General features: G+C 51.5%; 1 protein-coding gene across 5 annotated transcripts in view, besides 1 other annotated feature; it reads right to left on the bottom strand.

Moving 5' to 3' along the window:
- Nucleotides 825–1,119: a silencer, noted in NCBI's record as "tiled region #10310; K562 Repressive non-DNase unmatched - State 18:Pol2". NCBI's record gives its function as "represses a minimal TATA promoter and a strong SV40 promoter by Sharpr-MPRA in K562 cells {active_cell/tissue: K562}" and the evidence as "EXISTENCE:reporter gene assay evidence [ECO:0000049][PMID:27701403]".
- Nucleotides 2,486–11,660, bottom strand: part of NUDC (nuclear distribution C, dynein complex regulator) — a 46,711-nt gene continuing 37,536 nt past the window's right edge. For all 5 annotated transcript variants that reach the window (XM_047439143.1, XM_047439206.1, XM_024452486.2 and 2 more), the window contains 7 exons: nucleotides 7,697–7,900; nucleotides 7,539–7,604; nucleotides 6,581–6,697; nucleotides 6,292–6,486; nucleotides 3,884–3,967; nucleotides 3,671–3,789; nucleotides 2,486–3,227 (listed from right to left, as the gene is read on the bottom strand). In XM_047439143.1, the coding sequence (XP_047295099.1) occupies nucleotides 3,176–3,227; nucleotides 3,671–3,789; nucleotides 3,884–3,967; nucleotides 6,292–6,486; nucleotides 6,581–6,697; nucleotides 7,539–7,604; nucleotides 7,697–7,900 (837 nt within the window). In that variant the 3' untranslated portion in view covers nucleotides 2,486–3,175. The remainder of the gene's footprint in view (nucleotides 3,228–3,670; nucleotides 3,790–3,883; nucleotides 3,968–6,291; nucleotides 6,487–6,580; nucleotides 6,698–7,538; nucleotides 7,605–7,696; nucleotides 7,901–11,660) is intronic.

Genomic DNA, 11,660 nt, shown 5'->3' with positions numbered 1-11,660 from the left:
TGAGAAAGGTTGGATAAATGGTTTCTGACATTGTTTGAGAGGTTCTTCTAGGGAGGCCTGTCCGAACTGCCTCTGCTCTCCCAGTCCACTGCCTGCAGGCTGGCCTGCTTCTGCCCAGCCCACAGTTTCCCCAAAGCCTTGATCATTTGTTGGCCCTACCCAGCCTTGGACCTGCTGCTCCCCTTCCACTCTCTCTGTGGTAGTAACAGAGCACTGTGGTTTTTTTTTTTTTTTTTTTTTTTTTGAGATGGAGTTTTTGCTCTTGTTGCCCAAGCTGCTGGAGTGCAATGGCACAATCTTGGCTCACTGCAACCTCCGCCTCTCGGGTTCAAGCGATTCTTCTAACTTAGCCTCCCGAGCAGTTGGGATTACAGGCATGCGCCACCACGCACAAATAATTTTGTATTTTTTAGTAGAGACAGGGTTTCTCCATGTTGGTCAGGCTGGTCTCGAACTCCTGACCTCAGGTGATCCGCCCGCCTCGGCCTCCCAAAGTGCCGGGATTAGAGGCGTGAGCCACCGCGCCTGGCCAGCACTGTGGTTTTCACCAGTATCTTCTTGGCCTCTCCAATAACGTTGGAGAAAGGACATTATTCTTTCACAGAGAGGAAACGTGGGGCTCACAGTGAGGTCAAGGAACTTAGTGGGACACGCAGTTAGTAACTGTGGCTCTGGCCTTGCTGGGGCAGATGCAGAATCCCTTCATTAGGTAGCAGAGCCCAGATGAGTTCAGAAGGATCCTACTTGGCTGCTCCTCACACACAGGCTTATCTACTGGTCCTCTTTCAGCAGAGAGGCCGGGGCAGGCCCACCAGCCCATTCTTAATTAACAAACAAGCTAGAAAGTGTTGAGGATCCCCCCACTCCAGCTCCCATCTGACCTGCTGCCCCCACCGCCCTTTTTATTGTTCCGAAAGGCACCCTTTGGAAAGTAACTACTAGACAAATTGTACTTGTTTGTCCAGTTTCCTAAGGGAAACAGGATGATCTCTCAGGGCTATGAACATAGGGTTCAGTTCTAACTCCAGGCTCTGCTGTCGCATCCGGGTCAAGGCCTCCAAAAGATTAAAATGACCACGGGGCAGAACAGGAGTACAGAGCGGTAGAGTGACACCACGAACCAAGCCTCAGCCCTAGAGCACCATTTTCCAAACCTAGCCTTTTAAACCATTATTTGCATTCCCAGGAAAAAAAAAAAGGTTTAGCAAGTTTGGAAAACAGACAAAGCTATGTACTGCATAGCCTCTCTGAAATCTTTAACAAGCTATTCTGAATTTTTTTTTTCCCCGAGACAGAGTCTCGCTCTATTGCCCAGGCTGGAGTGCAGTGGCACGATCTTGGCTCGCCACAACCTCAGCCTCCCAGGTTCAAGTGATTCGCCTGCCTCAGCCTCCCAAGTAGCTGTGATTACAGGCACGTGCCACCACACCCAGCTTTTTCTTTTCTTTTTGGAGACGGAGTCTCACTCTGTTGCTCAGGCTGGAGTGCAGTGGCGCGATATCTGCTCACTGCAAGCTCCACCTCCTGGGTTCACACCATTCTCCTGCCTCAGCCTCCCAAGTAGCTGGGACTACAGGCGCCCGCCACCACACCCGGCTAATTTTTTGTATTTTTAGTAGAGACAGGGTTTCACCATGTTAGCCAGGATGGTCTCGATCTCCTGACCTTGTGGTCCACCCACCTTGGCCTCCCAAAGTGCTGGGATTACAGGCCTGGGCCACCGCACCCGGCCAACACCCAGCTAACTTTTTATATTTTTGGCAGAAATGGAGTTTCTCCATGTTGGCCAGGCTGGTTTCGAACTCCTGACGTCAAGTGATCTGCCTGCCTTGGCCTCCCAAAGTGCTGGGATTACAGGCGTGAGCTACTGTGCCCAGCTATTCTCAAATTCTAAAAAAAACATCTGTGTTCCAGAAATTTAGGAGCCAAAGAACTAAGCACTCACAGCAAGTCAACCTAGACATTCTTGCTATAACCTCTGTGGCCCAAGCATTCTGACCTCCACTCTCTAGCCAAAGTGGGGCAGGGGTCAGCTCTGTGGGCTGGATCTGAGCAAAGGGGAGCACCTCTTCAGCCCTGGGAGCTGGCTTTGAGAAGGCCTAGAATCTGCAGAGGTCCAGGTCTGAGATACAAACAATGGAGCCTCACTGGACTTTACTCTGTCCTCCTGGTAAGGTCCCTGTACCACACACACCAGATCTGAGGCCTGAGCTGTCCTCCTGGTACCCCTCCCCTGAGCCAGGCAGTGTCACCTTGGCCCTTGCTGCTCTTCTGCCCTGGGACACAATAGTCTCTAGTTTCAAGAATACTTGATTCACGGCTAGAGGGCAGACCCGCTGCAGTGGGAAGTAAAAATCAGATCAACAAGTCCAGCGGTCTTAAAACTTTTTTGGGTCATGCGCCCCTTTGAGAATCTGACATGTGTTCTGGTCTCTGTAGCCAGAAAAACTCAACCTTTGCTCAGAAACATACATAGACTAAAAGCCTTGTTTTATTTATTTATTTTTTTGAGATGGAGTCTCTGTCACCCATGCTGGAGTGAAGTAGTGCAATCTCGGCTCACTGCAACCTCCGCCACCCGGGTTCAAGCGATTCTCCTGCCTCAGCCTCCCGAGTAGCTGGGATTACAGGTGTGCACCACCACACCCGGCTAATTTTTGTATTTTTAGTAGAGACTGGGTTTCTCCATGTTGGCCAAGCTGGTCTCAAACTCCTGACATCAGGTGATCTGCTCCCCTCAGCCTCCCAAAGTGCTGGGATTACAGACATGAACCATCACACCCGGCCAAGCCTTGTTTTAATCTTTAAGTAATGAGAAACTGAGGCCCAGAGAGGGGCAAGGATGTGCCCTAGGTCACATGGCAGAATCTGGGCTAGAAGCCAAACTCCCAGTTCCCAGCAGCAGCCGTAAGAGGCCTGTGCCCCAGAGAAAGGCCAGAGGCAAGAGAGGACACAGAAGGAGCTGGGCAAATCGTTTTAATGTGTAACAGTAGGCCAACTGGGGAGGACAAGGTCCCAAGACCCAGCCTTTCTCCTGATGCCCCGGGACCTGTGTGCCTGGGCCAGTCCCATGCCTGCCCCAAGCCCTGAGGCCCACAAGTCCCAGAGAAGAGTGGGAAAGAAAGTTGGGTGGTTGCAGCTCAGCCCCAAGAGTTCAGGGAGGAAAAAACAGGGGCTAGTTGAATTTAGCCTTGGAAAAATCCATCTCCGGATGTTGATCCATGAACCTGGAGAAACGGAAGCAAGATGAAACAGCTCATCCTTCTCTTCTAAAGCTGTCCCTTCTCCCAGCACCCCCGTGTCAAGTCTAATCTCTTTAGACCTCAGCAACACCAAGCCAGGCTGGGCAGGAGCAGGGCCCAGGGTATCTGAGACGCATTTGAGTCCCGAGGCTGGAAGCTGAGGCACCAACACTGGCATTGTTTTCCTGTAGGTGGCAATGACCGCCTGTTACCCCTTCCCTCCTATCATGCACCATGAGCCGGCCTTGCCCTCAAGATGACCTCAGCAAATGACAAGAGTAGGCAAGCCAAAGCCATAAAGCCATAAACATGGCTGGAAAGGGGGCAGGGCAGCTCCTGAGGCAGCGCAGTGATCCACTCACTGCTGTCACCGAAGTCTAAGCCCCCAGGCACCCACGGTCCCCCAACCCCGTCTCTGAATTGCTCACTTCTTCAGAATCTCCTGTTTCTTCTGTTCGTCTGAAGTTGGCAGCCCCATGGACTTCTGTCGCTGGTCATACATCATCTTTTCCACCATGCTGCGAGTCTCACTGTCCAGGTCTGACAGCTGAGGGCAGGCAGTGACAGGAATCGGTGAAGCTCTGGAAACAACGAGGCCCCTCACCTTCCTGCTGAAGCTCCCCCAACCAGCCAGGGCTCACCTTGGAATTCTCAGGGTTAATCTTCTTGGTGTTGATCTCAGGGTCACTGGACACCAAGCGGCTCCACCACTCCATCTTATTGATCTGTGAAGAGAACAACCAGAGGGTGGGAGGTGGCCTGCTCTGTGCACCAGGAATCACCCCTTAACCCTTTCACAACCAAACTCTCTCCCATCCACATCCTGCACCTGAGACCCTTGCAGGCCTACACTGGATCCAGAGGTACAAGACTGTGCCCTTCCTGCAGCTAGGGGAGACACAGAGGCAAAGAGTTACAAATCAGTGTGATAAGGGAAAGAAGAAAGCAGAAAGGGAGATATTCATCCAGGGTGGAGGGAGAAAAGTTTGAAAGTGACACTCGGGCTGAGTCTTAAGACACAAAGCAGTATTCCAGATTTAAAATGGGAAGAAAATAAATATATATATTTTTTGAGATGGAGTCTTGTTCTTCTTGTCCAGGCTGGAGTGCTGTGGCACCATCTCGGCTCACTGCAACCTCTGCCTCCCGGGTTCAAGCAATTCTCCGGCCTCAGCCTCCCGAGTAACTGGGATTATAGGCATGCACCACCACACCTGGCTAATTTTTGTATTTTTAGTAGAGACGGGGCTTCACCATATTGGGCCAGGCTGGTCTCAAACTCCTGACCTCAGATGATCTGCCTGCCTCAGTCTCCCAAAGTGTTGGGATTACAGGTGTGAGCCACCATGTGCAGTGGTGCAGTCAGCTCACTGCAACCTCCACCTCCTGGGTTCAAGCGATTCTCCTGCCTCAGACTCCCAAGTAGCTGGGATTACAGGCGCCCACCACCATGCCCAGCTAATTTTTTGTATTTTTATTAGAGATGGGGTTTGCCATCTTGGCCAGGCTGGTCTCAAACTCCTGACCTCGTGATCTGCCCACCTCAGCCTCCCAAAGCGCTAGGATTACAGGCATGAGCTACCACGCCCAGCCAGAAAAAGTTTTTAAGCAGGGAAGTGCCAGGTGCAGTGGCTCCTACCTGTAATCCCAACACTTTGGGAAGCCAAGGCAGGAAGATCCCTTGAGCCCAGGAGTTTCAGACCAGCCTGGGCAACATGAGACCCTGTCTTTACAAAAAACATTTAAAAATTAGCCAGGTAGGGTGGCGCTCGCAGTTACTCAGGAAGCTGAGGTGGGAGGGTCGTTTGAGCCCGGGAGGTCAAGGCTGCAGTAAGCCGTGATTGCGCCACTGCATTCCAGCCTGGGTGAGAACAAGACCCTGTCTCAAAAAATAAAAAATAAATTTAAAAGGCAGGGAAAGGGCTGGGCATGGTGGCTCACACCTGTAATCCCAGCACTTTGGGAGGCCGAGGTGGGCGGATCACAAGGTCAGGAGATCGAGACCATCCTGGCTAACACGGTGAAACCCTGTCTCTACTAAAAAATAGAAAACAAAACAGACAAAAAAAAAAATACAGGCATGGTGGCGGGCGCCTGTAGTCCCAGCTACACTGGAGGCTGAAGCAGGAGAATGGCATGAACCCAGGAGGCGGAGCTCGCAGTGAGCCGAGATCGCGCCACTGCACTCCAGCCTGGGCGACAAAGCAAGTGCAGAGGCATGGAGGGGTGAGTGAGTGAAGGCAGCCAGTGCCAGTCGGACAGGCTGTTACAGGGTCTTATGTGCCCTGGGAAGTTCTCCTCAGACCCTTGGCCCTTTTCAGACCACCTTTATTTACTGATCTCTGTGTCCTACCTCTCTGTAAAGGCAGTGAGGTTGAGAATGAAGGCTTCCTGAGGGCACATATTTTCCTATGTTTTGTTCACTGTTCTCTTTCCAGCACTTAGAACAAGAACAGTACCAGGCACAGAGCAGGTGTTCAAGTATTTGATGAATTGAATGCATGTACAAACCTAGTGAAAAAGAAGTGGCTTTAGAAACTAAGACTTTCAATTCTGACTCCACCCCTTCCCAGAGGTAGGAGCTTGGGTAAATCAACGAGCTCTTTTCCTGACTCAAGCCTGTAATCTCAGCACTTTGGGAGGCCAAGGTGTGAAGATCACTTGAGGCCAGGAGTTCAAGACCAGCCTGGGAAATATAGTGAGACCCCCCGGTCTCTACAAAAAAATTTAATAACAAAAATTAGCCGAGCGTGGTGGTGTACACCTGTAGTCTTAGCTACTCAGGAGGACGAGGCGAGAGAATTGCTTGGGCCCAAGGGTTCAAGGCTGCAGTGAGCTAAGAAGGTGTTACTGCACTTCAGCCTGGGCAACAGAGTGAGACCTTGTCTTTAAGAAAATAAAATAGAGACAGATCTACTTTAAAGAGTGTTGTCATGGGGATTAAGATAATCCCACAATGCCCCCAGCATGGCTCCTGAGTAAACTAAGCACACATCCTCCCTTCTACTTCCATCAACACCCCAGGCTAGAAGGGCTGGGCCTCACATACCTTCTCCAGATGCACAGTCACCACCTTGCCGTCCTCAATGAGCCACGAGCTCTCCTCCACCTTCACTTCATTGTAGAGCTCCCCATCAATGATCGCTGGCTGCCCCTTGAGCCCCACCCGGAGGTGCCGCCGCTGGATGTCCACCACCATGTCCTTCCCTTTCAGCCGGAAGTTCACACAGAAAGGGACCGCCAGCTGCATAGGGCAGAGGCAGTCAGAAGAGGCCACTAAGTGCTGCTGGTACCCCAGGCTGGCCCCCTAAGCTTTACCTCTGGTCCCTGACACTCACGTCCAGCTCCGACAGGGTCTGGGTCCAGCGGTAATTGGGCAGGTCTGCCCCGTTGCCTAGGTTGGGCTTCAGTTTTCCTTTGTCCTTCTCATCTTCCTCCTCATCTTCCTCAGTATCCTGCTTACAATCAGGGACACTCAGCTACTTACTTGACAGACAAGACACAGATTGAACCCTCACTGGGCCAAGCCCAGGGCTAGCACTGGGCATACAGCCACAAAAGAAAACAGACCTGGTCCCTGCCCACTCCACAGAGGGGCAGACCCCCAAGCCTTGGTCCACTGGGAACCAGGTAAAACTTGGTTCTGATCTCAGTCTGAGAGGAGCTCAGACTATTAATATTATACCATGTGACAAAGGATATGGCTGGGCCCACAGAACCCAGCCAACCTCAGATGGGACCTGTAATAGGCACTGCCCTCTCTGGCTATTGGGTTTTCTTGCCATAAACAGGTTAAGGTCAGTCGGTTTTTATTTTATTTTTTTGGGACGGAGTCTTGCTCTGTCGCCCAGGCTGGAGTGCAGTGGCGTGATCTCGGCTCATGGCAACCTCCGCCTCCCGGGTTCAAGCAATTCTCTGCCTCAGCCTCCCGAGTAGCTGGGATTACGGGCGCCCACCACCATGCCTGGCTAATTTTTGTATTTTTAGTAGAGATGGGGTTTCACCATCTTGGCCAAGTTGGTCTTGAACTCCAGACCTCGTGATTTACCCACCTCGGCCTCCCAAAGTGCTGGGATTACAGGTGTGAGCCACTGCGCCTGGCAGGTTTTTATTTTTTTAACCTGGATCCTTTGGTTCAATGTCTCTGAGTGTGATCTTAAAGTATGGGGAAGATTCCCAAAGCCAGGAGGGGAGGGGATAGGATAAGGAAGGGTATTCCAGAGAAAGCAGTAGGCAGGAGATTTCCTGTAAGTTCCAAGCTCCTGGCTCATCCCAAGTCCCTGCAGTCCATCTCACCTGCTTCCCTGGGGAGTCAAGGCTGCCGTTCTTGAGCTGGGCCTCATGATTCTCTGCATCCTTTTTCTGGGGCAAAGAGCACAGCAGTTGGCAACAGGACCCCACTGCTCAGTGCCAGGGGGGATCTGAGGGGTGGAGAAGGGAAGCCCACCCTTCACCTGGTCAATCTCTAGCTGCAGCCTCTCTGCCTCTTCATCAGTTAGCTCCTTGATCTGGGGCCCTGAGGTCTCTGACTTGGCTTCCTTGGCCAGTCTGGCCGCCCGCTCCGCCTTCTCCCGCCGCTCGGCCTCCTGCCGGGCTCTCTTCTCCCGCCGGGTCTTCTGTGCCAGCTGATTGTGGTGGCTGAAAGTCTGTGTGATAAGCTGGAGAGGGAAGAAAGGCCATGAGGCATCAGAGCAGGGGACAGTGTCCCACAGCCTGGAGTCCAGCCCCACTCTCTACCTGCTGGGTGCAAGGGCAAAGCACTGCACCCAGAAACTCGGTTTCCTCATGTGCAAAATGAGGAAAATACATCTATCTCATAGGGTTGTAATGACAATACCTGCAAAGCACCTGTCTCAATAAACTGGCTGTTTTAAAAAGTGATGCTTGGCCGGGCGCGCTGGCTCACACCTGTAATCCCAGCACTTTGGGAGGCTGAGGAGGGTGGATCACAAGGTCAAGACCATCCTGGCCAACATGGTGAAACCCTGTCTCTACCAAAAATACAAAAAAAAAAAAAAAAAAAAAAAAAGCTGGGCATGGTGGCGGGGGCCTGTAATCCCAGCTACTCGAGAAGCTGAGGTGGGAGAATCGCTTGAACCTGGGAGGCAGAGGTTGCAGTGAGCAGAGATCGTGCCACTGCACTCCAGCCTGGTGACAGAGCAAGACTCCATCTCAAAAAAAAATAATAATAATAAATAAAGGAATTGGAGACTAATCTGGCCAACATGGTGAAACCCCGTCTCTACTAACAATACAAAAAAATTAGCCAGGCGCGGTGGCGTGCGCCTGTAATCCCAGCTACTCAGGAGGCTGAGGCAGGGGAATTGCTTGAACTAGGGAGGTGGAGGTTGCAGTGAGCTGAGATCAGGCCACTGCACTCCAGCATGGGTGACAAAGCGAGACTCTGTCTCAAAAAAACCAAAACAAAAAAAGTGGCGCTGTTTAAAGTAAAAACTCAAGCCTCAGTCCCTCACAAGCCTTTCCTGAGTTCTCAGGCCCACTCCTCTGACTAATCACTCTTACTCTTAGTGCATCCTGTCTCCAAGACCACAGTCCAGCTATGCAAGACTTGACACCACACCCAAAAAGGACACGTTAGCAGAAAGCCAGGGAGCTTTTTTTTTTAATTTTTTTTTTTGAGATGGAGTTTCACTCTTGTTGCCCAGGCTGGAGTGCAGTGGCGTGATCTTGGCTCACTGCAAGCTCCGCCTCCCGGGTTCAAGTGATTCTCCTTCCTTAGCCTCCCGAGTAGCTGGGATTATAGGCATGTGCCACCACGCCTGGCTAATTTTGTATTTTTAGTAGAGATGGGGTTTCTCCATGTTGGTCAGGCTGGTCTCGAACTCCTGACCTCCAGTGATCCGCCTGCCTCAGCCTCCCAAAGTGCTGGGATTATAGGTGTGAGCCACCGTGCCCGGTCAAAGTGCTGGGATTATAGGTATGAGCTACCGCGCCAGGTCAAAGCCAGGGAGCTTTCTTGAAGGAAGAGCCTGTTCACCCTCTCTCCAGCAAGCAAGCTATCAACTTCAAATCCTTTTTCTCCACTACACCTTCCCAGGAGGTTTCCACTCCAGGATGTGCTAGCCAGCCTCCCTGCTACCCAAGGACAACCCTCCACCCATACTATTGCCACCTGTCATTATTTGGCTCCTGGCCTTAGACAAGTGAACAACTTTGACTCTTTCTAAGCCTGTTTCCTTATCCGTCATGAGGATTGAGTATGACAGCACAAATCAAGAGCCTAGTGAGGTCCACATCACAGGGTTCCCCTGACCTGCAGCATCAGCATCACCTGGAACCTGTTAGAAACGCTAAATCTTAAGCCCCACTCCAGATCTACTGGATCAGAAATTCTGGGGTATGGCCAGGCAATCTGTATTTTTAACAAGCCCTCCTGGCCAATTTCCATGCATACTTCAAAATCACACCTAGATTTGAGTTCCTGGTCTACTCTTACCTGCGTGACCCTGAGGTCATGTCTCTGTGCCTCTATCTTGTTATTATTATTATTATTTTTGAGGCATGGTCTCACTCACCCAGGCTGGAATGCATTCGACCTCCCTGGGCTAAGGTGATCCTCCCACTTCAGCCTCCCCAGTGGCTGGGACTATAAGTACATGCCACCATGCCTGGCTAATTTTTGTATTTTTTTATAGAGACAAGGTTTTGCCATGTTGCCCAGGCTGGTCTCAAACTCCTGGGTCAAGTGATCCACCTGCCTCATCTTCCCAAAGTGCTGGGATTACAAGTGTAAGCCATTATGCCTGGTCTAAGTTATTATCTCTAAAAACAGTCTTGGCCAGGTGTGGTGGCTCATGCCCGTAATCCCAGCACTTTGGGAAGATGAGGCAGGTGGATCACTTGAGGCTGAGGCGGGCAGATCACCTGAGGTCAGGAGTTCTTGACCACCCTGGCCAACATGGTAAAACCCTGTCTCTACTAAAAATCCAAAAATGAGCCCGGTGTGGTGGCACACGCCAGTAGTCCCAGCTACCTGGGAGGCTGAGGTGGGGGAATCACTTGAACCCGGGAGGCAGAGGTTGCAGTGAGCAGAGATCGCGCCACCAGCCTGGGTAACAGAGGGAGACCCTGTCTCAAAATAAATAAAAGCAATCTTGGCATGTGTTGTTCTTTGCCTAGAATGTCTCATCCCCATTCTCAGGTCACCTGGCAAACCAATTCATCCTCCATGACCAGTCAAGTGTCAAAGTTTCACCTCTGGCCAGGAACATACCCTTAGGACACTCAACTCAATGCCAACCCATACACAGTGTGCATGTGCACACATACGCACATACCCCTAGAGGCCTTGCAGGGCACTTGCCATGTGATCAGTGGTCAATAAACCCTCTTTCAAGCATCTCTAAGGCAGAACTGCAGGGAAAGCTCTGCAGGGGCTCAAGGTCACAGAAGTCACCCACGGGCCCCCAGACCTGGGGTTCTGCTAAATGCCCTGTGGATTCTCACCCATTTGACGCCAAATTCTCCTGCTATGCCCAAACCCCCTGTCCCATGCCACACCACAGTAGCTCCACACTCTACAAGGTTAAAGAACACCAAACGTACCCCCTAAACCACAAATTAAACTGGTAGGGGAGGCCATTCTGCTGTCAGTAGAAACAATAGGTCATAATTACACCAGCAGAGGCTGTTCCACCACAAGGCCTTGGTCCTAAGTCCCTAATCAGAGAGACCTTGAACTAAAGGCATTTGCCAACCAGTGGCCAAAGGGAGGTGGGAGCAGGGCCCTCCCCTCTCCCAGCTCCACTGAATCATGTCACATCCCATTTGTACTTCCTTCCTAGCTCCTGGAGGTTAAGCAAGGGCAGAGCTAAACCACCAGGCAGAGTCAAGGCCAATCACAGCAGCCTCTGACCCATCCTCCCATCAGCCTGACCTAGGCCCAGCCTCAGACAGATAACCCCAGGGTTGTGGAAGCTTACCCAGAGGCTGTCACCGACTCAAGCTTCGGTCACTGGACACATCTTTGGGAACCACAGCCAACCAGGGTGGGGAGGGCTGGGCCTGCTCTAAATCCAAGCCTGTCACTCTCCCCCAGAAGAGGCCCAGGACAGTACAGGCATGTGCCACCATGCCAGCCTTCTCAAATACTTTTCAGAAGGCAGAAGAATTTTATGAAATAGCTGTTATTCAAATGCTAATCCAGGTCGGGCACGGGGGCTCCCATCTGTAATCCCAGCACTTTGGGAAGCAGAGGCAGACAGATCACTTGAGCCCAGGAGTTTGAAACCAGCCTGGGCAACATAGGAAGACCCTGTCTCTATAAAAAATACAAAAATTAGCTGAGTGTAGTGGTACCTGTAGTTCCAGCTACTCGAGAGACTGAGGCAGGGGGATTGCTTGAGCCTGGGAGGTCAAGACTCCAGTGAGCCATGATCACATCACTGCACCCCAGCC

Source organism: Homo sapiens, chromosome 1, assembly GCF_000001405.40.
Source record: "Homo sapiens chromosome 1, GRCh38.p14 Primary Assembly".
NCBI lineage: Eukaryota > Metazoa > Chordata > Mammalia > Primates > Hominidae > Homo > Homo sapiens.
This window is presented reverse-complemented; position numbering and strand designations above follow the sequence as displayed.